This window comes from Homo sapiens, chromosome 9 (genome assembly GCF_000001405.40).
Source record: "Homo sapiens chromosome 9, GRCh38.p14 Primary Assembly".
NCBI lineage: Eukaryota > Metazoa > Chordata > Mammalia > Primates > Hominidae > Homo > Homo sapiens.
In genome coordinates, this window is record NC_000009.12 from 98507989 (window position 1) to 98532564 (window position 24576).

At 42.8% G+C, this 24576-nt stretch overlaps 1 protein-coding gene across 3 annotated transcripts in view, besides 1 other annotated feature; it reads right to left on the reverse strand.

Annotated features, from left to right (window-relative positions):
- Positions 1-24576, reverse strand: part of GABBR2 (gamma-aminobutyric acid type B receptor subunit 2) — a 420827-nt gene that overhangs the window by 219880 nt on the left and 176371 nt on the right. The gene's annotated exons all lie outside the window — the stretch shown is intronic.
- Positions 577-1107: an enhancer, noted in NCBI's record as "H3K4me1 hESC enhancer chr9:101270847-101271377 (GRCh37/hg19 assembly coordinates)". NCBI's record gives its function as "activates a minimal SCP1, AML or CMV promoter by ChIP-STARR-seq in primed H9 embryonic stem cells {active_cell/tissue: H9 hESC(primed)}" and the evidence as "EXISTENCE:reporter gene assay evidence [ECO:0000049][PMID:30033119]".

The following is a 24576-nucleotide window of genomic DNA, read 5'->3' on the forward strand; positions in this document are numbered from 1 at the left end:
GCTATGCTGAGCTGTTGGGGAATGAAATTAGCCATCAGACCTTATTGCTTTCCTTGTGACAAACTGCCCATTGCTTTAATTGTTCCAGACTCGAGGGACCAAACCAATGTTTACAAAAACACTGGGTATTAATAAAACAGGGAGGCTATATAGTTAAGGTGATGAATAGAAACTTCTATAGGAAATCAGCAATATGCAAAGTGAGCCTCTGACACCAAACTAGAAGACGGATATTAAGAAATCACACCTGAGAGCACCAAAGCAAGCCCACTTCAAAACCATTCCCTGGGGAGGAGGAGCCAAGATGGCCGAATAGGAACAGCTCCGGTCTACAGTTCCCAGCGTGAGCGATGCAGAAGATGGGTGATTTCTGCATTTCCAACTGAAGTACCGGGTTCATCTCACTGGGGAGTGCCAGACAGTAAGTGCAGGACAGTGGGTGCAGCGCACCGTGCGCGAGCCAAAGCAGGGCAAGGCATCGCCTCACCAGGGAAGCGCAAGGAGTCAGGGAATTCCCTTTCCTAGTCAAAGAAAGGGGTAACAGACGGCACCTGGAAAATTGGGTCACTCCCACCCTAATACTGCGCTTTTCCAACGGGCTTAAAAAATGGCGCACCAGGAGATTATATCCCGCGCATGGCTCGGAGGGTCCTACGCCCATGAAGTCTCGCTCATTGCTAGCACAGCAGTCCGAGATCAAGCTGCAAGGCAACAGCGAGGCTGGGGGAGGGGCGCCCGCCACTGCTGAGTTAGTTGTTTGATTAGGTAAACAAAGCGGCAGGAAACTCCAACTGGGTGGAGCCCACCACAGCTCAAGGAGGCCTGCCTGCCTCTGTAGGCTCCACCTCTGGGGGCAGGGCACAGACAAACAAAAAGACAGCAGTAACCTCTGCAGACTTAAATGTCCCTGTCTGACAGCTTTGAAGAGAGTAGTGGTTCTCCCAGCATGCAGCTGGAGATGTGACAATGGGCAGACTGCCTCCTCAAGTGGGTCCCTGACTCCCGAGTAGCCTAACTGGGAGGCACACCCCAGTAGGGGCAGACTGACACCTCACACGACTGGGTACTCCTCTGAGACAAAACTTCCAGAGGAACAATCAGGCAGCAGCATTTGCGGTTCTCCAATATCCATTGTTCTGCAGCCACCACTGCTGATACCCAGGCAAACAGGATCTGGAGTGGACCTCTAGCAAACTCCAACAGACCTGCAGCTGAGGGTCCTGTCCGTTAGAAGGAAAACTAACAAACAGAAAGGAAAGCCACACCAAAAACCCCATCTGTACGTCACCATCATCAAAGACCAAAGGTAGATAAAACCACAAAGATGGGAAAAAAACAGAGCAGAAAAACTGGAAACTCTAAAAATCAGAGCACCTCTCCTCCTCCAAAGGAACACAGCTCCTCACCAGCAACAGAACAAAGCTGGATGGAGAATGACTTTGACGAGTTGAGAGAAGAAGACTTCAGATGATCAAACTACTCCGAGCTACAGGAGGAAATTCGAACCAATGGCAAAGAAGTTAAAAGCTTTGAAAAAAAATTAGACGAATGGATAACTAGAATAACCAATGCAGAGAAGTCCTTAAAGGACCTGATGGAGCTGAAAACCAAGGCACGAGAGCTACGTGACGAATGCACAAACCTCAGTAGCCAATGCGATCAACTGGAAGAAAGGGTATCAGGGATGGAAGATGAAATGAATGAAATGAAGTGAGAAGAGAAGTTTAGAGAAAAAAGAATAAAAAGAAATGAACAAAGTCTCCAAGAAATATGGGACTATGTGAAAAGACCAGATCTATGTCTGATTGGTGTACCTGAAAGTGACGGGGAGAATGGAACCAAGTTGGAAAACACTCTGCAGGATATTATCCAGGAGAACTTCCCCAATCTAGCAAGGCAGGCCAACATTCAAATTCAGGAAATACAGAGAATGCCACAAAGATACTCCTCGAGAAGAGCAACTCCAAGACACATAATTGTCAGATTCACCAAAGTTGAAATGAAGGAAGAAATACTAAGAGCAGCCAGAGAGAAAGGTCGGGTTACCCACAAAGGGAAGTCCATCAGACTAACAGCTGATCTCTCAGCAGAAACTCTACAAGCCAGAAGAGAGTGGGGACCAATATTCAACATTCTTAAAGAAAAGAATTTTCAACCCAGAATTTCATATCCAGCCAAACTAAGCTTCATAAGTGAAGAAGAAATAAAATCCTTTCCAGACAAGCAAATGCTGAGAGATTTTGTCACCACCAGGCCTGCCCTAAAAGAGCTCCTGAAGGAAGCACTAAACATGGAAAGGAACAACTGGTACCAGCCACTGCAAAAACATGCCAAATTGTAAAGACCATCAAGGCTAGGAAGAAACTGCATCAACTAACGAGCAAAATAAACAACTAACATCATAATGAGAGGATCAAATTCACACATAACAATATTAATTTTAAATGTAAATGGGCTAAATGCTCCAATTAAAAGACACAGACTGGCAAATTGGATAAAGAGTCAAGACCCATCAGTGTGCTGTATTCAGGAAACCCATCTCATGTGCAGAGACACACATAGGCTCAAAATAAAGGGATGGAGGAAGATCTACCAAGCAAACGGAAAACAAAAAAAGGCAGGGGTTGCAATCCTAGTCTCTGATAAAACAGACTGTAAACCAACAAAGATCAAAAGAGACAAAGAAGGCCATTACATAATGGTAAAGGGATCAATTCAACAAGAAGAGCTAACTATCCTAAATATATATGCACCCAATACAGGAGCACCCAGATTCATAAAGCAAGTCCTGAGTGACCTACAAAGAGAGTTAGACTCCCACACAATAATAATGGGAGACTTTAACACCCCACTGTCAACATTAGAAAGATCAACGAGGATACCCAGGACTTGAACTCAGCTCTGCACCAAGCAGACCTAATAGACATCTACAGAACTCTCCACCCCAAATCAACAGAATATACATTCTTTTCAGCACCACACCACACCTATTCCAAAATTGACCACATAGTTGGAAGTAAAGCACTCCTCAGCAAATGTAAAAGAACAGAAGTTATAACAAACTGCCTCTCAGACCACAGTGCAATCAAACTAGAACTCAGGATTAAGAAACTCACTCAAAACTGCACAACTACATGGAAACTGAACAACCTGCACCTCAATGACTACTGGGTACATAATGAAATGAAGGCAGAAATAAAGATGTTCTTTGAAACCAACGAGAACAAAGACACAACATACCAGAATCTCTGGGACACATTCAAAGCAGTGTGTAGAGGGAAATTTATAGCACTAAATGCCCACAAGAGAAAGCAGGAAAGATCTAAAATTGACACCCTAACATCACAATTAAAAGAACTAGAAAAGCAAGAGCAAACACATTCAAAAGCTAGCAGAAGGCAAGAAATAACTAAGATCAGAGCAGAACTGAAGGAGATAGAGACACAAAAAATCCTTCAAAAAATTAATGAATCCAGGAGCTGGTTTTTTTGAAAAGATCAACAAAATTGATACACCGCTAGCAAGACTAATAAAGAAGAAAAGAGAGAAGAATCAAATAGACACAATAAAAAATGATAAAGGGGATATCACCACCGATCCCATAGAAATACAAACTACCATCAGAGAATACTATAAACACCTCTATGCAAATAAACTAGAAAATCTAGAAGAAATGGATAAATACCTCGACACATACATCCTCCCAAGACTAAACCAGGAAGAAATTGAATCTCTGAATAGACCAATAACAGGCTCTGAAATTGAGGCAATAATCAATAGATTACCAACCAAAAAAATTCCAGGACCAGATGGATTCACAGCCGAATTCTACCAGAGGTACAAGGAGGAACTGGTACCATTCCTTCTAAAACTATTCCAATCAATAGAAAAAGAGGGAATCCTCCCTAACTCATTTTATGAGGCCAACATCATCCTGATACCAAAGCCTGGTAGAGACACAACCAAAAAAGAGAATTTTAGACCAATATCCTTCATGAACATCGATGCAGAAATCCTCAATAAAATACTGGCAAACCAAATCCAGCAGCACATCAAAAAGCTTATCCACCATGATCAAGTGGGCTTCATCCCTGGGATGCAAGGCTGGTTCAACATATGAAAATCAATAAATGTAATCCAGCATATAAACAGAACCAAAGACAAAAACCACATGATTATCTCAATAGATGCAGAAAAGGCCTTTGACAAAATTCAACAGCCCTTCATGCTAAAAACTCTCAATAAATTAGGTATTGATGGGACGTATCTCAAAATAATAAGAGCTATCTATGACAAACCCACAGCCAATATCATATTGAATGGGCAAAAACTGGAAGCATTCCCTTTGAAAACGGGCACAAGACAGGGATGCCCTCTCTCACCACTCCTATTCAACATAGTGTTGGAAGTGCTGGCCAGGGCAATTAGGCAGGAGAAGGAAATAAAGGGTATTCAATTAGGAAAAGAGGAAGTCAAATTGTCCCTGTTTGCAGATGACATGATTGTATATCTAGAAAACCCCATCGTCTCAGCCCAAAATCTCAAGCTGATCAGCAACTTCAGCAAAGTCTCAGGATACAAAATCAATGTACAAAAATCACAAGCATTCTTATACACCAATAACAGACAAACAGAGAGCCAAATCATGAGTGAATTCCCATTCACAATTGCTTCAAAGAGAATAAAATACCTAGGAATCCAACTTACAAGGGATGTGAAGGACCTCTTCAAGGAGAACTACAAACCACTGCTCAATGAAATAAAACAGGATACAAACAAATGGAAGAACATTCCATGCTCATGGGTAGGAAGAATCAATATCGTGCAAATGGCCACACTGCCCAAGGTAATTTATAGATTCAATGCCATCCTCATCAAGCTACCAATGACTTTCTTCACAGAATTGGAGAAAACTACTTTAAAGTTCATATGGAACCAAAAAAGAGCCCGCATCACCAAGTCAATCCTAAGCCAAAAGAACAAAGCTGGAGGCATCACGCTACCTGACTTCAAACTATACTACAAGGCTACAGTAACCAAAACAGCATGGTACTGGTACCAAAACAGAGATATAGACCAATGGAACAGAACAGAGCCCTCAGAAATAATGCCACACATCTACAACTATCTGATCTTTGACAAACCTGACAAAAACAATCAATGGGGAAAGGATTCCCTATTTAATAAATGGTGCTGGGAAAACTGGCTAGCCATATGTAGAAAGCTGAAACTGGATCCCTTCCTTACACCTTATACAAAAATTAATTCAAGATGGATTAAAGACTTAAATGTTAGACCTAAAACCATAAAAACCCTAGAAGAAAACCTAGGCAATAAGATTCAGGACATAGGCATGGGCAAGGACTTCATGTCTAAAACACCAAAAGCAATGGCAACAAAAGCCAAAATTGACAAATGGGATCTAATTAAACTAAAGAACTTCTGCACAGCAAAAGAAACTACCATCAGAGTGAACAGGCAACCTACAGAATGGGAGAAAATTTTTGCAACCTACTCATCTGACAAAGGGTTAATATCCAGAATCTACAATGAACTCAAACAATTTTACAAAAAAAAAACAAACAACCCCATCAAAAAGTGGGCGAAGGATATGAACAGACACTTCTCAAAAGAAGACATTTATGCAGCCAAAAAACACATGAAAAAATGCTCATCATCACTGGCCATCAGAGAAGTGCAAATCAAAACCACAATGAGATACCATCTCACACCAGTTAGAATGGCGATCATTAAAAAGTCAGGAAACAACAGGTGCTGGAGAGGATGTGGAGAAATAGGAACACTTTTACACTGTTGGTGGGACTGTAAACTAGTTCAACCATTGTGGAAGTCAGTGCGGCGATTCCTCAGGGATCTAGAAGTAGAAATACCATTTGACCCAGCCATCCTATTACTGGGTATATACCCACAGGACTATAAATCATGCTGCTATAAAGACACATGCACACATGTGTTTATTGCGGGACTATTCACAATAGCAAAGACTTGGAACCAACCTAAATATCCAACGATAGACTGGATTAAGAAAATGTGGCACATATACACCATGGAATACTATGCAGCTATAAAAAATGATGAGTTCATGTCCTTTGTAGGGACATGGATGAAATTGGAAATCATCATTCTCAGTAAACTATCGCAAGAACAAAAAACCAAACACCGCATATTCTCACTCATAGGTGGGAATTGAACAATGAGATCACATGGACACAGGAAGGGGAATATCACACTCTGGGGACTGTTGTGGGGTAGGGGGAGGGGAGAGGGATAGCATTGGGAGATATACCTAATGCTAGATGACGAGTTAGTGGGTGCAGCACACCAGCACGGCACATGTATACATATGTAACTAACCTGCACAATGTGCACATGTACCCTAAAACTTAAAGTATAATAATAATAATAATAATAATAAAAAAGAAAATGTGGCACATACACACCATGGAATACTATGCAGCCATAAAAAATGATGAGTTCATGTCCTTTGCAGGGACATGGATGAATCTGGAAACCACCATTCTCAGCAAACTATCGCAAGGACAAAAAAACAAACACAGCATGTTCTCACTCATAGGTGGGAATTGAACAATGAGAACACATGGACACAGGAAGGGGAACGTCACACACCGGGGACTGTTGTAGGGTGGGGGGAGGGGGGAGGGATAGCATTAGGAGATATACCTAATGCTAAATGACGAGTTAATGGGTGCAGCACACCAACATGGCACATGTATATATATGTAACAAATCTGCACGTTGTGCACATGTACCCTAAAACTTAAAGTATAATAATAATAATTAAAAAACCATTCCCTGGCTGTCTGAGCCCCATCCCTGCTCTTGTCTCTTGAAGAATGGTGGAGGGGATGGCAGGCGGCCACATGGGGAAGTCTAGGCTTGTGAGATATCACTTCGTGCATCCCTGAAGAACTGCCACCAAACCCAGGGGACTGGCGTGGCACCTGGGCCTCAGGGAAAGGGCCAGTTCCAGTGGGGGAGGCCACCAGGAAGTAGATTTCAGCTCCCTCAGAGACAGAACTTTCTAACAAGAGAATGAGCCAAGGAAGGATGGACCCTTCCCCAGGTGGGACTGAGCTCCCCGCCATGACAGGTGTGCAAGCAGAGGTGGGTTGCACAGGCTGTAGAAGGGATTCAGGCATCAGATGGAGGGGCAGACGAGACTGCTGCATCTCCAAGGAACGTCTCAAATTCTCAAACCTGAGAAGTTGCAAGAGAGGCCTCAGCCAAACTTGCCCATGGGGAGCTGCCTAGGTGGTACCTGTTCTCACCCCTGCAGAAATAGGACAGCTTCAGGCCGCTCCATAAGCTGGACGAGCAGTGCGATCAAATTGTCCACCTTTGCACTTCAAGGTGGAGTTTAAAGGACTCTTTTCTGAGACCCTGGGAAATCACTGCACTTTTTATTAGCAGCTTTCTTTCCAGTTCTGGATTCCAAAGTGGGTGATTTGTCCTCAACTTATGTTCTGCTCTAACATCCTAAGCCCCTAGCATTTGCAAACCCCCTTTCTTGGCTTCCACTGGCTCCCTTCTTCTAGGGCTTCAGATTTGGGGTGTGGAATGAGGTGAGGAACTGAAGGGCTGGGACTCGCCTTGGCACAGACAGCAAAAGGCATAGGTGCAAACTGCTCCCAGAGCCCACCTCTCCTCCTTCCCTTCCCTCCACTCCCCCTCTCCCACCCCCATCCCTCACTCCAAGCCCTCAGGGAGGAAGGGGGCCACAGGCGACACACCAGGATTGACTCTGGAGTGAATTTCATCCTCAACAATCTTACAAAGCAGATCCCATTCTTGTTTCCATTTCACAAATGAGGGACTTGAAAGATTAAGTCACTTGCCCAAAGCCTTACAAGTAGTAAGTCAGAGGGTCAAGACTGATACTCATGTCTCTCTGACTTCCAAACATCCAGGAGGGGAGAGTAGAGGAAGAAGAGAGGAAGAGCTTGGGTGGTGGCACTGGCCTGGCCCCTAGGTGGTTCCTGCAGGGAGAGGACCCAGTGAGTGGCTTTCCTCCTTGAGCATCCCTCTCTAGACTGGCAGGCCCTGGGGAGTTGAGACTGTGTTGGGGCCTCTCTGTGTATCCATGCTGGATATAAAGCCTGGCAAAAAGCAAGCGATTAGGACACACGGGAAAGAGAAGCATGGCAGAACTGGACATATCCAGGAAGCAAGGGCATCACAATCAGAGAATGGTAATAAAAGAAGGAGACAAGAACACTGAGGATGCACTCCACCTTCACCTCCTGGCCCCAAGGTCTGCAAAGGGAGCCCTCTGTCCAGCAGGCAGAGTGAGTGCTGACACTCTCAGGCCCACTCCTCATGTCTGAGAGAGGCTGAGCTCAGACCATCAGAACCAGGCTGCCACACACCAACTCACCAGCCCTCATTGGACAGCTGGGGAAACTGAAGTCCCAAGAAGAATAGAAACTTGCCCCAAATCACACAACTTTCTAGGCACGGAGCTGGGACTCAAACCCAGTTTCTTGCCTCTAGACCAATATTGCCCAAAGCCATTTATTTAACGGCAGCAACAGAACACTAAGCCCCCAAGAGAGCCACCAGTTGCAGACCTTTCAGGACCCTTTCCAAAATCCAAGACAGGCGCTGCTCCCACGCAGTACCCAGCCCCATTCCTGACCCCGAGGGTGGCACCATCTTTGGTGATCCTGGCTCCTAGCTCCTGGGTTCCAGGACCCAGCACAAGGCTTGGCACAGAGCAGTTGCCTGGTAGCGCTAAACAGACCTGGAAATCTCCCCGATATCAACCACCCTTGGGCTCAGAGTTTAGGGCAGCAGCTTCCAAGGATGCTTATGCATCTGCATCTTCCCAGGAGCTTTGTAGAAATACAGATTCCTGGGCCCCAACAGAGCGATTCAGACACTGGTACAGGAGGGAGGCCAGCAATCTGTGTTTGCACAAAATGCTGTGAGATCTTGGTTGCACGACCAGATTTGAGAGACACCCTTTTAGTGTGCTCCAGTCTGAGTGGCCCTTTAGCTTAAACTCCTTTGTTCCTAAGGGCCCTCTGATGGAGATACTACGGTGCACTGCCAGAACAGAGGCACTCATTCCGGATTTGCCCTTGAATAAAGGAGGCAGCCTCATTCAAGGTCACACACCTTCCCCAGGACCGCCTGCACCCAGTGACTGGCCCAGCCTTCTGGTCTCTATTTGGGACTTCTCTGAAGGGCCATCCTAGCTCCATAGCTCCCCATGGGCAAGCTTGGCTGAGGTTCCTTTTGCAACCTCATTGTGTGTCAGCTTCTTCCTTCACCCAGTCCCACCTTTCCCACCCCTTCCTGTGGGCACTGGCTAACAAATCTCCTGTATGCTGAGCCCCAAGAGAGTCCCTCTCCTGGCGAAACTGACCTTGAACAGGCTCGCCCTCCACCCACATATGTGTCAGCTTGGACCAAACCACTACATTGCCACCAAGTTATCAGATGACAATATTGCCTGCTGAGAGCCCGAAACGCAGCTGCTTGCTGTAGAACCCTCATAGTGACTCAAAGACTTTAAGCTTTTCAAAATAATGTCTAAACTTCATTGTAAGTGAGGAAAGGAGTAAAGTGATAAAACTATCCCTGTGCCCAGTACACTAATCCAACTAGTATAATATCTCATCATGTTGGTTATTCCCATTTGCTTTCATCCACATGCGCCAGCCTGCCCTGCCCTGCCCTGCTTTTTTCATGGAATTAGAACTTTCAGATAGGGCAGCACGTGAGTGGCCTGGTCCTCTAACTTCCAGCTGGGCTTGGCCAATGGGAGCCCGGCAGGAGTCAGAAGACCAATGAGAACCCAGTGGGAGTCAGAGGGCCAATGGGAGCCCAGCAGGAGTCAGAAGACCAGTGAGAGTCCAGAGGGAGTCAGAGGACCAGTGAGAGCCTAGCAGGAGTCAGAGGACCAGTGAGAGCCTAGCAGGAGTCAGAGGGCCAATGGGAGCCCAGTAGGAGTTAGGGAGCCTATGGGAGCTCAGTGAAAGAGAGCCAATGGGAGGCCCCAGGAGGAGTCAGAAAGAAGGCGAGAAAGAGTTCCGGGTATTTTTTACCTTGGCTGCTTCCTGGCTTGGTTAGAGCCCGTGTGAAGCGGCTGCTCCTCCCAATTCCAGTAGCTCTGCCCCTCCCCTTGTCCTCCAGAGCAGTTGATGCTCGTGACTCCAGCCATTGCTAGCCCCTGGAGCTGCAGTAGCCCTGGTTGGTTCCATTGCCTCTGCCTAAAGTACTTCATCTAAATCGGACTTCAGCTCTGAAGATGCCGTCTGTTTCTTGCCAGGACGCTAATACTGTAGATATAAGTTTTTCAGGTAGAAATTATCAAAGTATAATTTTTTATATCCATATGTTTTCACCTAAGATTATAAGATACACTTTGTAATTCATTTCACCACTGACCATGCATGCGCGAATCCCCTTAAGTTTCGGACTTCAGCCCTCCTATGTCTAAGTCCTGCTTACCCTTTAAGCCCTATGGTAAATAGCCCTTCCTCCATGAAGTCCTTCTGGATTCTCCAATGAGATGCACTCACCCCTTGTGAACACTGGCATCCCCTGCTTCTTCCTCCCAGGCCCTGCTTTCTCGGCCCTGCTCTGGAGTAACTGGGACGATCTTCAGTGATCAACAGCCCAGAGAATCCACTACAGCAGCACAGAGCATGAGGTCCCCTCAGCCCCACAGCCAGCCCAGGTGTCTGGGGGAGGATGCTGGGTTGCTCATGTATGGAGAGGATCTAAACTCTGGACAGCTCCCTCAAGGTCAGGAAAGACAGTCTGCGCTTCCCCTCCCACGAAGCCCATGGAGCCAGCCCCATCCTGTAGAGGTGCTGAGTGTGTGCCCTGGGAGGGAGCGGTGGTCTAGGTGAGCCGACTGTGTCTTGGGGTGGACACTGCACCAAAGTGCTGAGCAGGCTGCCAGCCTGGGAGCAGGGTCTGAAACTGTGCTAAACTAAGCAGATTTTATAATGTATCTTCTTACGAGCAGTACTCAGAGACTCCAGGGAACAGGTATTTACTCTGTAGAGTCTGAATGGAATTTTCCAAAGGGGACCAAAATCTAGAGGCACCAAGATTACTGTTATTGCTGCGGCTTGTTAATCTGTCCATCTGCCCCTGGGCTGTGAGCAACTGAAGGGCCTGAAGGCTCTGTCTGAGCCCCTGTCAGATTTTGGCATAATGGCCTGGCTCAGTCAGCACTGGCTGAATGAGGGAATGAATGAGACCACAGGACACCCTATGCATCTGCCTGAGGTGGGTGTCACTTAACACCTGGTGCCCAGCGTTTCAAGGGGGAGGCTTGAGGAGCATCTGTGCTTTCTCTGTGCTCCAGTGATCAGAGAAGAGCAAGGGTTCTTAGGCAGAACTGCCAGAATGCTCCAGAAGGGAAGAGAAAAATTAGAGAAGTCTGCACATCCGTGATAGACGGGAAAGGCCGGAGCAACAGTGGGGACTCATTTACTGAGTGCCTGTCATATGTGGAGCCCTCAAACGTATATCACTCCTTGCGGGCATGGGTGTAAACCCAAAAGGTACAATTATGACCAGTTTATGGGTAAATAAAATGAGATTCAGAGCTGTTGAGTCAACTGCCCAAGGTCACACAGCTAGGATGTAGGGAGCCTGGGATTCAACTTCAAAGTCTATCTCTTTCTACAATAGCCTATGCTGGAAACTAGGAGCCGGCAACTTTTTTTTTTTTTTTTTGGTAAAGGGTCAGATAGTAAATACTTTAGGCCTTGCAGGACTTACATGTTTTTTCCCAACAACGTTGCAAATGCAGCCATACACAATGTGCAAATGAATGGGTGTGGCTATGTTCCAATAAAACTTTATTTATGAAAACAAGGGGCTGCATTTGGTCCATAGGCCACAGTTTGCAAACCCCTGTTCTAGACTCAGGATAAAGAGCCTATGGTTCTATTTTTCCCTCTAGGAAGGCTGTGGGAGAGAGGCAAAAGCATGAACTCGAGTCAGGTGACTCTAGACTAGCATGCTAGCTATGTCCCCACTGCTGGGCTACCTTGGGTGAGTAAGGAAACTCTCTGAGCTTTTTTTCTTGTCTGTTAAAAGGGCATAACCACAACTTGTCTTTGAGTTCTTGAAAAGGTAAGCTAATATACGCTAAGTGTCTACCATGGCTAAGGTTCAATAAATGGCAGTGTTCATTATCAGAAATGACAAAGTCAAGAAGGGGAGGTGTGGAAAACATGCCATGGGATTGGGGGAAGGAGAGGAAGTGATGGTGATGCCACTGATACTAAATCCTGAAAGGTATATCTTCTCATGAAGGCTGGCTATGGGCTTTCTGCAGGAGAATGCTACTCTATACCTCACGAAACCCCAAGGGGGATTCATAGGTGCCTGTGATGGGAGAAATCTTTTCACCACCCCCGGAAGGAGCAGATGTGTGGAGCTTGGTGACTCCCCACGGAGGGTAGGGAGGCAGCTGTTCACAGACTTGATATGGCAAATTGTGTGATGTGCTGTCTTCCTGGGGCAGGCAGCCAAGCAGTGATGGAGGAGCCTCTGCAACCCCCTCCCCACAACGCCTGCTGCCCACGTCTGCTGACTCACCCAGGAGGGTCTGGGTATGCCAGAAGAAATCCAAAATGGCTCTCTAGTGAAGCACAAGGCTTTCAAAGGGGATGGAAACTTGGAGGCAGGGGAATGGTTTCTTCTGTTTCCACTTAAAGGGCATAACTTTGGCAGAGAAGGGAGGATGTGGGGAAACTCCATCAATATTGCTGAAGGCCAGGATGTGGCTCAGGACGCCAGATGATGAGTCCCTGGCAAGGGACAGAACTCACTGCCCCAAGACTGGCAACACCATGTTTGGCAGGAGAATTCTCCATCTGATCGAGAGGATGCTAAACTGGAACTTGAGAAGGAGAGGAAAAGTGCCCAGGAAAAACTATAAAACCAGATATGAAGAAAGCCAATATAAATGAGGAATTTTAAAAGGGGGGCCATGGAACAGGAAATGCTCAGGGAATCTCATATGTCTATATACCAAAGTACAAAGTATAGGAAACAATGTTAACTATGAAACTTTTGAGAAAGATGGTAAAGCTAAGCACAGATGTCCAACTCCCACCTAAGCTACCTCCTTCTGAAAGTGACAGAAAGGACCAAGGGAATATAAAAATAGGGGGGAATCTGCTTCAGCCTTGGAAAATAGGAAAGAGTGCCATCAATATGCCACCAACTTTGAGGAATTTCTGCTAGGTACAGTGCCAACAGAACCAGATTGAAGACTGACTCATGGCTCTCCTTCCTGAGAAAGTAGTGCGGTGCTGCAGGGAGGGTGGATGTGCTGACGAGACTGACCTCACAGCCTCTGATGGGTGAGTAAGTACTGGAGGGGAGGCTGGGCCACAGAAGGGTGCAGGGCCTACCTCTCACTAAGGAGTCCACCTATCACCCTGCAACCCAACAGCCTTCAGGAGTGGCTGGGTCATTAGATCTACGAACAAGCAAAGCCTATTGAAGTCCAGTTTCCCCAGGACAGGCCTAGGCACCTTGCAGACACAGCAGGCAAGTAAACAAAGTCAGAGGCCAGGGGGATCTCTGCACATCTGGAGCAGCTGTTTGACAAACTCATGAAGAAACCATTTAAACAAGAAAGGCCCACACCACCAAATGGTTTCCTAATCCCTTGGCTGCTTGTCCCTAGGCTGGTCATATAAAATGTTATCATCCAGTCTTCCAGATGAATATCCAAGGTGAAGAATCTAACAGCATCTAGATAAAACAATGAGGGGACTCAAGAAGAACTCACCCATGCTGTAAGCGAATACCAGGTCATAGAAGGCATAAAATGCATATGGAACCTATGAAAACTTTCTGAAACATAAAGGAAACAAACAAGGAATTCAAGCAAAGAAAGAATATCATCTCTAAAAAGAATTGCTGTAGGAAATAAAGGTAAATTGTAATACCCATTTTGTATTTCATGGAGGTTAAATAAAATCTGGATTCTAAATCTAAAAAATAAAATATATGAGAAAAGAAACTGAGATAAAAGAAACCAGGCATAGTTAATATAATAATGACTGGAAATGAATAATGTTATGAGAATTTTAAGAAGCATTAGAAGCAACAAGGAGCAGAATTTAATTGTAAAAAAAAACTGATGAATATTGTGGAGGACAGTCTTGAGATGTTCTCTCACAATGTGAAGGAAAAGGACTAAGATTAAAATGACCAGAGAGAAAACAAAAATATGGAGAATAAACTACAAAGGCTCACTCATGAATTATTGATATTTCTAAAAAAGATATCAGAACAAAAGAGTAATAATTAAAGATATAATAAAAGAAAACTAATGCAATCAGAAGAAAGACCAGATTCTTCGAATAAAAATGTAATCATATTTTAGACAAAACAAAAATCAGCTATGTGCCATTTTTTCTTTATGAGTATCAAAAATAAAGAAAGAATCCTACAAGCAACTGGTACAGGCGACTAAAAAACTTTATCTCCAAAGGAACCAAATCAGACTGCATCAGACTTTATTACAACATTGATGTAATGTCTAGAGAGCTTATGATCATAGAAATTTATACTTAGATAACTTGTCATTCATAGGCAAAGCTACAGAGAGAAATTGTGATTTATGCAAGGGCATAGATATAAAACTCATATGACCTTCCTGAAAAACAAAAGATGTACTCATGCCACAGAGAGATAAATCAAAAGACATAACTCATGAAACTGACTCATGTCAGAAGAAATTAGTCATGTAAATATGGATTTGAATCTTAAAATCATAGTTATTGTAGTATAGTTTCAAAATAAAGTGAACATCTCAAATAGCAACTGAAAAAAGCATATCCACAATGTAAAGAGTAAAATCAAATTAAAACTCAGATTATAACAATACAGAATTAGAGGCAGTGAGGGATGGAGAGTAAACAAGTGTACTGATTTATGTAACTTACAATAGATATTGTTGCATTTCTAGGTTGGCACTTAGGGAAGTAGAAGACCGATATTTTAAACTTAAAGTACAATTGTAGCATAGTTTTATTATAATGAGGATGAGATATTATTTAGCTGAAACTATAGGATTTCATCAAAGCTGTAATCAAAGACATTTATATGCTTAACTACGCTTAATAGCAACCAAAACAAGAGTAAAAAATAAATATGCAAATTAAGAAATTAGAAGAAGAATGGTGAAAGAAACCTACATATAAAGGGAAGGTATTATTCAGGAGAAAAGCAGAAGAAAATAAATTAAGAAGTAGATAAATCAAAGCACAGCCAGTAAGAATCCAAGAGCTGGTCCTTTGGTTAAAAAACAAGATAATGGGATGCTCTACTGAAGACTTAACTTGTGTTTTTCTGCTATCTTCTTTAGCAAGAGAAATGTCTGAAAAGATGAGTAATCTTTAAAGGAGAAGCAAGTAGACCTCCCCCACGGCCTCAAGCAATCAAGTAGCTGCTTTAAGAAGGAGGATAAACGTGTAGCTCTATTACGTAGCAAAATGGAATAACAGGACCATTTGGGAGTAGAGCTCTAAGAGGAACCCTCTCTGACCTGTGGGGATGTGGATATCCGAAAAGAAAAAGCCAACAGAAGTTCTAGATCTACAGGAGGGGCTTGAGGATGCTAGGAAGTGCAACCGGGAACCTAGATTAGCAGCAGTAACCAGTGGGACCAGTGTCCACAGCACACTCAAGTGGCAGCAGGAAGCAAGGGCTGCAGAATGCTGGCTCTCCCAGCTTTCTATTAGAAAACCCACCAGAGTTGTTGGTCATTTTAGAGAGGGGTGGTACTTCAAGACAGAGACACTGACCCTAGTGTATCTGGCAGATGGAGTGCTTGATCCAGGTTTAATTTCATTTGAAAAAATAATAAAAAATGTAACCATTTCTTTCCCACAGAATTTAAGATGTTAATAACAATTACATCAATAAAAGAAGCAAACTATCTAATCAAGGGGAAAAGTGGGAAAAACAAGAAAGGGCCTATAACAAAAAAACAGAGGCTTTAAAAATTGTCCTGAAATATATGCTAATAAATTTGAAGATCCCAAAGAAATGGACTATTTTTGAGAAAATATGTTACTAAATCCATTTAAGGAGTATAAAGCCAAAATCAATAAGCATGGAAGAAGCTACAAAGATAACTTGTAAAAAGGGCAGACTGAAAAATGTAAAATCCTGGATGGTTTCATAGACACACCTTTTTATTTTCAAAGAGCAGTTAATTTGTATCTATAAACTGTATAGGGCACCTAAAAACATGGAAAGCTTTCCAACTCTTGTCGTAAAACTAGAATATTCCTGACAACTAAACCTGACAAAGACAGCACAATCACGGCAAAATATAAATTATCATACGTACTTACAGAAAAAAATAGATGAATTGGTTAAAAGAAAAACAAACAGCACAACAAACAGTGGAATGCCAATATGGTTTAATGTAAATATGAATGCCAGACCCATTTATCCAATAGCCTATTCAACCTCTCCATCTGGATATTCAACAGGCGTATCTAAACTGTTGACCCCCTTCATGGAAACTTGCTCCTCTGCACTCTCCCTCAAGTTGAGAAGTGATAACTCATTCTGTCCAGTTGCTCAGATCAAAAACTTTGGCGCCATCTTTGATGCCTCACTGTTTATCGCTCACACACTCATTCATTCCATCAGGAAATCTTGTCAGCTCTACTGTCAAAAATATCTAGAATCTGGTTGATTTTCACTATCTAGTTCAAGTCACCACCACCCTCTACTCGGTGGTGCCAAAAGCACCACTTTTAAAAACCTAAGTCAGATAAAATCCCTCTTATTAAAAAAAAAACTCTCCAGTAGTCCAGAAAGAAATCCATACTACAATGGTCAGTCGATTTCAACAAGGGTGCCAAGACCATTTAATGAAGAAATAATAATCTTTTCAACAAATGGTCCTGGAACAATTGAATAGCTTCATATGAAAGAATGAAGTTGGAACCTTACCTCACACCAAATATAAAAGTTAACTCAAAAGAGATCAAAGATCAGGGATTGTATCTGACTATAAAATTCTTAGAAGGAAGCATGGGCTGAAGTGTTCATGACCTTGAATTAGACAATGGTCTCTTAAATATGACATCAAAAGTAAAAGCAGCAAAAGAAAAAAAGATAGATTTGACCTTACTAAAATTAAAAACTTTTGTGCAAAAAAACACCATTAAGAAAGTAAAAAGAACCCTTAGAATGGGAGAAAATATTTGCAAGTCACCTATCTGATATGATCTAATCCAGAATATATAAAGAATGCTTACAACTCAATAACAAAAAGACAAACAACCCAATTAAAAATTGGACAAAGGATTTGAATAGGCATATCTCCAAAGAGGATATACAAATAGCTAATAAGCACATGAACACATGTTCAACATCATTATTCATTAGAGAAATGCACATCAAAACCACAATGAGACACCATGTCACACCCACTAAGATGGTTATAATCTCTTCTAAAATGGAAAATAACAAGTGTTTGCAAGGATGTGGAGAAACTGGAACCCTCATACCTTGCTGGTGGGAATGTAAATGGTATATCCATTGATGCAAACCAGAAAATGGCTTGGCAGTTTCTCAAAATGTTAAACGTAGAGTTACCAAATGACCCAGCAATTCCACTTCTAGGTGTAAATCCAAGAGAAATGAAAACATACATCCCCACAAAAACTTGTACACAATGTTCATGGCACCATTATTCATAATAGTCAAAAGTAGAAACAACTGAAATGTCCATCAACTGATGAATGATAAAATGTGTTACATCCACAAATTGGAATATTATTTGTCCATAAAAAAGAAAGGAAGTACTGATATATGCTACAACGTGGATGAACCTTGAAAACATTATGCTAAGTGAAATAAGTTAACACAAATGCCACATATTTTGTAATTCCATTTATATGAAATGTCATTATAGGCAAATCTATAGAGACAGAAAGTAGATTAACAGCTGGGGGCCGGAGAAAATGAGTGGCTGCTAATGGATGTGGAATTTCTTTTTGGAGTGATGAAATATTCTCAAATTACATAGTGGTAATTGTTGCACATTATTGTGTATATACTGAAAACCATTTAATTGTATGCTTTAAAATGGTGGACTTTATGGTATGTGAATTTTTTCCCAATAAAAACAAAACCCAAAACATTCTCCAATAGTTTCCCAACTGACTCAAAGTATAAGCCAAAGTCTTCACAAATATCCTAAAAGAACCACAGATCTCTTGCCCCACCTCCACTCCACACCAACCACTCTACTTCTCCCACACCCACCCTGTTCCAGTCATCATAGCCTTCCTGACATTGCTCCAGCACTTCCAGAGTCCCTCCCACCTCAGGACCTTTGTGCATCTGTTCTCTCTGCCTGGAACCCTCTTCTCTCAGGTCTCCTTATAACCTGCCCCTCACTGCTTTCAGGTGGCTGCCCAAACATCACCTCTTTGAGGCTCTGCTTGACTTCACCACTCTCTGCATGGGATTTCCTACTCCCTTAACTCTACTTTGTCTCCCTAGCACTTGTTATCATCTGACATATTTTAAATTTATTTGCTCATTATTTTTTTAAATCATTTGTTTCCCCCACTAGAATGTAAGCTCCTTGAGGGCAGGGACTTTGTTTCACTCACTGATGTGTCTACAGCACCTAGAATGGTGACCAACACAAGCTAGGCACTCAATACATATGTCTTAAATGAATGAATGTATTACCAAATGGGTACAAGGAAACTGATGACTATAATTTGTCACACTAATAGATCAAAGTAAAAATCCATAGCTATCAATACAAATTCTAAAAAGGCATCTGACATTTTAGCATGCATAGCTAAATAGGTACAAACACTGAGTAAATAAAAATAGAACATCCCTTGAGATGAGGAGGAATATCTGCTCTTCTAACAGACATCAAACCTTACTAAGAGCATTCTCATTAAAGTCAAGGACAAGACAAGAATACCCACTGTTATCACTATTTTAAAATATAACTCTAGAACATCCAGTGAATGAAGCAATATTAACGACAATAACATATATTATTCATATGTTAATAATATATAATAATAATATATATATTATATATATATATGTATATATAAAATAGTGGGTATTCACTCCTTTGGACACTGTTCTAAGCCCTAAATGCTTTACATGTGTTAGCTGTTTTAATACTCATGACACCTAAGGTTATATTAGCATTTCCCCATTATCAGGGACACAGAAAAATTAAACAACTTGCCCAAAGTCACCCAGCTGGCAAGTAGCTGAGTTGGAATTAGAACTCAGACGGTCATTCTGCTATGACTGTCATTTACCACTATGCAGTACCGCCTCAATGAAAAATGATGAAAATAAAGATGCCATAATGCTGGAAAATAGAAAGCAAGTTTATTCTTGCTCCAGATGTTATTATATCTACCTAGAAAATCCAAGAGAATTAAGAGAGGAAAAACTAGCAGAAATAATAGGAGTTCAATGTAGCCAGTCATAAGATGTGGATATATACATCAATAGTTTTCTCATATCCCACCAATAACCACTTAAAAACATCAAGCAAACTAGATCCCATTCCCCAAAGCAATAATAAATGTAAAATACCTGATAATAAACCTAACCGTTCATGGAAAGGACCTGTATGAAGAAAATGACAAAACTTTGCTGAGGATCCAACAAGAAACGTTCCATATGCATGAGTGGGAAGACATGGTATATAAAGATGTCAACTCTTCTACAAATTAATTAAAGTAACTAAAATTCAAACAAAAATGCCAAGAATTAAACTGGTGAAAATGAAGGCAACTGTTAAGAAAGAAAGGAGAGCTGCACATTAAACTATATTATAAAGGAGCCCTGAGGTACCCATTCCAGCATAGACAGATTAATGGAACAAAATGTAAAAACTCAGCAACAGTCAAAAGCTGCACCGTCCAAGACAGTAGCCATCAGCCACATGTGATTATCAAGCGCTTGAAATCCTAATGACACATGTTGAAATGATAGCATTTTGGATATGTTGTATTAAATAAAATATATTATTAAAATTAATGTTACCTGTTTCTTTTTACTTTATAAAATGTGGCTACTAGAAAATTTAAAATTATATATGTTGGTTTGCATTATATTTCGATCATACAGAACTGGCCTAAAGCATAAGCAAAAGTGTAATATATTATTTTCTAAAGATAAAATTTAGCATAGGCATTTTAAGTAAATCAGAAAAAGATATATTAAGTGCTGAAAGAAAAATTGAGTGACTATAATGGCAGGAGAGGAAAGGCTGATATTTCAGACCATATACTGAAATTCCAGATAAAGTGAAGAATGAAGTAAAAAATATACTAGAAGAAAACATAGGTATGTATTTACAAAAATTTTGGAGATGGGAAGAGCTTGTCAAGCATAATGGAAAGGTGAAAAAAATGGTCTTGATAAATTTAACTGTATAACACACTAAATTTTTCAATAGATCAACTAATATCAAAAACAAAATTAAATGTCACATGAAACATGGAGAAATATCTTAACAAATATGACAAAAGGCTGATCTGATACCCTTACTTTATAAAGAGCTCTTATAAATCAGTAAAAAAAAGAACAGTCTAATGGGAAAAAGTGCCAACAACATGAACAGCCAATTTACAAAAGGAGAAACAGAAATGAGAAATATTCTTAGTAAAAAAGAAATTCAATCTCAATAGTAATGAAAAAAATGCAAATTAAAATAGCAATCGCCAAAAATCAGAAAAGAATAATACACAATACTGGCAGGGAATGGTCCCGTATACTGCTATGAAACTCTAAATTGGCATGATCTTTCTGGAGGACAATTTGGCAATATGTACAAAAGGTTCAAAAATGTGCATATGCTATTTCTAGGAATTAACTTCAGAAAATAATCAGAGATGTTCCCACAAAAGTACAAGTATGAGTTTACTGCATTATTTATAATCAGTAAAAATTGGCAACTACCTCCATGTTCAATAACGGCAGCCTTCTTGAGTAACTGATGGCATACGCACAGGGTAGAATAGTTTAAACAGGAATTGGATAAAGATGGTGAGAGCAAACACACATCTACCTCCTGTCCCATCCCCGAATCCTTGAAATGGCCGGCCAAAAAAATGTTAAGAAAAAAAAAAATCCCAACAGTTTTGGAAAAAAGAAGAAGACCGTTCATGGACAGGGTATTTGCAGAATTGTTGGAATATAGGAAGAAAGGGAACAGACTGTAGGATAAATATGACTGGAGGCAAATACAATTCAAAACACATCAGGGCTATGGCACAGATTGGGGTCAAGTCAAGAAGCACTGTAGCCATTAGGAGTCACGGTGACGGAGTCACGGAGAACATTTGCTGACCTGGGAAAACATTCTCCCTGCATTGCTAAGAAGCCATTTCGATAGCAAGAGCATGTATTTATTTACACACATTCATTTATGTGCATTGAAAAAATGGTAAAGACATCAGCCTAGATGTTAATGATGACCTTTCAGTGGGTAGGTTATGGCCAATTTTAAATTTTCCTTTGTGCTCTTTTGTGTTTTCCAAGTTTTCTGCATTGAGTTCATATCCATATTACAATTAAAAAACAATAATTAGTACTTTAAAATAAAAATAACCACAAAAAAGAACTTGACATTTTTATGGTAAGAAAGTAACTGTAATCTTATTATTTTTCCTTTGAATTACTGTAGTAACCTCCTGGCTGCTTTCACAGCCTCTGGTCTGCTCCTCCCAATTGGCCCTCAGGACTGCTACTATCTCACTTCTCATTTAAAAACCATCCATGGCTCCCAACTGCTGACAGGTAAAGTCTCAACTTAGAGGCATGCAGGGATCTTCGCCATCCTTCTTGCCTCCTAGCTCATCCTTCCACTTCTCATTCTGTTCATGGAGCTATCGAGCCCCAACAGACTCTTTGCTGTTTCCTGAAGGTTCCACACACCTTCCCAACTCCACTCCTTTGCTCATGCGGCTCTGGCACTACCCAAGCCTGGCAGATGGGCCTTGGGGGAGAAACCACAGCCAGAATGTACCAGAATAGCTCTAGGGAACCTACACACTACAAGATGCACTGCCCTGTCAGCCAAGAGGACCGGCAGAAACAACGTGTCCCGGGAAGGGTGGTAGGAGCAGCGTGAAGGGACAGTGCTCTGTTCTGAGATTCCCAACTTGAGAAAATAATAAAAATTAAATGCAGGATCCCATGGCAAAAATTCCAAAGGACTGTGAAGAGGTCCCCTTGAGACATGGTTGATTGGCCTGTATATTCACCTCCCTGCTTCTGTGGTAGGTGGGGTACAGGGACTTGGGGGGATATTGGCCCCAGACTCCTGGCTTCCTCTTCTTCACAAGGGCAGGCACAAACCGGGGTTCATGTCTATACCTGCCACTTCGTGGCTATGAGACCCTGGCATTACTTAATTCTCCCTGAGTGAGTCCGCTCTCTAAAAGGGAGACAGCACCAGGTGCTGTGGCTCACACCTGTAATACCAGCACTTTGGGAGGCCAAGGTGGGAGGGTCATTGGAGCCCAGAAGTTCGAGACCAGCCTGGGCAACAAAATGAGACTCTGTCTCGACAAAAAATAAAATAAAATAAAAATAACCAGGCGCGGTGGCGTGTGCCTGTAGTCTCAGCTATTTGGGAACCTGAGCCAGAAGATCGCTTGAGCCCAGGAGTTTGAGGCTGCAGTGAGCTACGACTGCACCACTGTACTCCAATCTGGATGATGGAGGGTAACCCCATCTCAAAAAAAAAATAGGGAGACCACACCATGCTGAATAATTGAACATAACTACCTGGCACACAGTAGGTTCTCAATAACTGGCAGATGAGATTTTAATCACATTTTCCTACTCCCAAGGTCCTGATGTGTGTGTGTATAGAGGGGGAAGGGTTGCTTCGCAAGGCTTGAGTCCTGCCCTGGGAGCCTGGCCCGGGGCTGGGCAGGTGGCACCAGGAAGTGTCCCTGGTGAGGGTGCTGAGGTCACTGTGGATGGTCCTTTTCCCCCAGAGACCTGAAGGATCTCCTGTGGACTGTTTTGAAGAAGGCACACTCAGTCAACGCTATGTTCCAGGATCCTCACAGCTTGAGTGGAGGATATATTTATCTAATATCACATGCCCTCTTGAGCAAAGAGTACAACACTCACCCAGCCCTTCAGGAGCCTGGCGTTGGCACCACAGACCCACGGCCAGTCACCCTAGCCTCTCTGAGCGGGGTCCATGTGGAGTGGGGAGAAGGACTCCACTCTGAGGACCTGGTGTGGAGTGTTATGGGGGACCATCCACTAGGTCCTGAGGTCTTCCTTTTGAACCAAAAATGGGACAGCCATCTTCTCTCTGCTCTGGAGTAGAGGGAGGAGGAGACTAGTGGGCCATCTGTCCCGAGGGCAGGAGCTCTGAGCCAGATAAAGGCATCCAAGCTCGGACATCTGTCTTCAGCAGGCTTAGCCATGGCAGCCACCACTGAGCAAAACATCCTGGAAATGCTCCAGATGTGCACACACTGCTCCAAGATGGCAGAAGCACTAGAAACTGGAGCCCCTGACAGGCGGTGGCTCTCACCTAGGTGGGGTCTTCCCACTCTGCAGGGGTGGGTAGGACAGAGCACTGCTAGTGGGCTGCACTTCCCACAGGGAACATTCACATGAAAGAACAAGTGTTGCTTGAACCCCAGGATCTGTCCCTATGGAGCCTCAGCAGAAGACTGAAGGCCTGTGGGGCTGATTCTTGACATTGATCAAATGCCTTTCCCATTGATTATCTGCTTTAGATCAGAGTTTCAAGGAGAAGTCTATTGCCAGTCCCACTCCCCACCCTTCACCCATCTATCCTCATGAGTTAAATAAACAGGCGGCTAAGTGCTTTTTATTCATCCCAGTGGTCCCCAAACTTCAGTCACTCCTGCACCTCTTAGAGGCCATTTCACCATGTCTGTGCACCACCCGTGTAAGCATTAATTAGTATTTTCAATTGAACGGTGTCACTTTTTAAACAGGGATTCCATCTTAAGCAATAACATCCATGAAGTACAGTTTTGATGTGCTAGTCATCATTTTACTTTTTCCTAGTGTATAATAACACAAATACAGAGATATTAAGATTGTACAAAAATCATATCACATATTTAAACCATTCTCTGGGAAATAATGGACCTACCCTAACCCTTCAAATGCCAAAGAGGCTGCCACAAACAACCACCAAGGTCTGGACAGGACAGATAAGAATCTTTTCCTGCTGGCTGACCCACAGGCCTGGCCCCTTGCAGAGCTCAAGGGAAGAGCACAGAGAAGGAGAGGATGCTTGCTTGGGCAGGCAGCCAAGTCACCTAAAAGCATTGGCAAGTTCTTCAGATAAAAGTTGGGGCCCGAGGTGGGGCACTAGTACCATTAGGATTAGAATCTGATCCGTCGGAGTCCCCTCTGTCTCCTAATGATAAAAGATCTGCAGATACGCTGGCAGCCCAGGTGATCCTGCAGCCAGGAGGGATGCCAAGGGCAGAGCTCAGAGGTGGCTCAGCCCTCCAA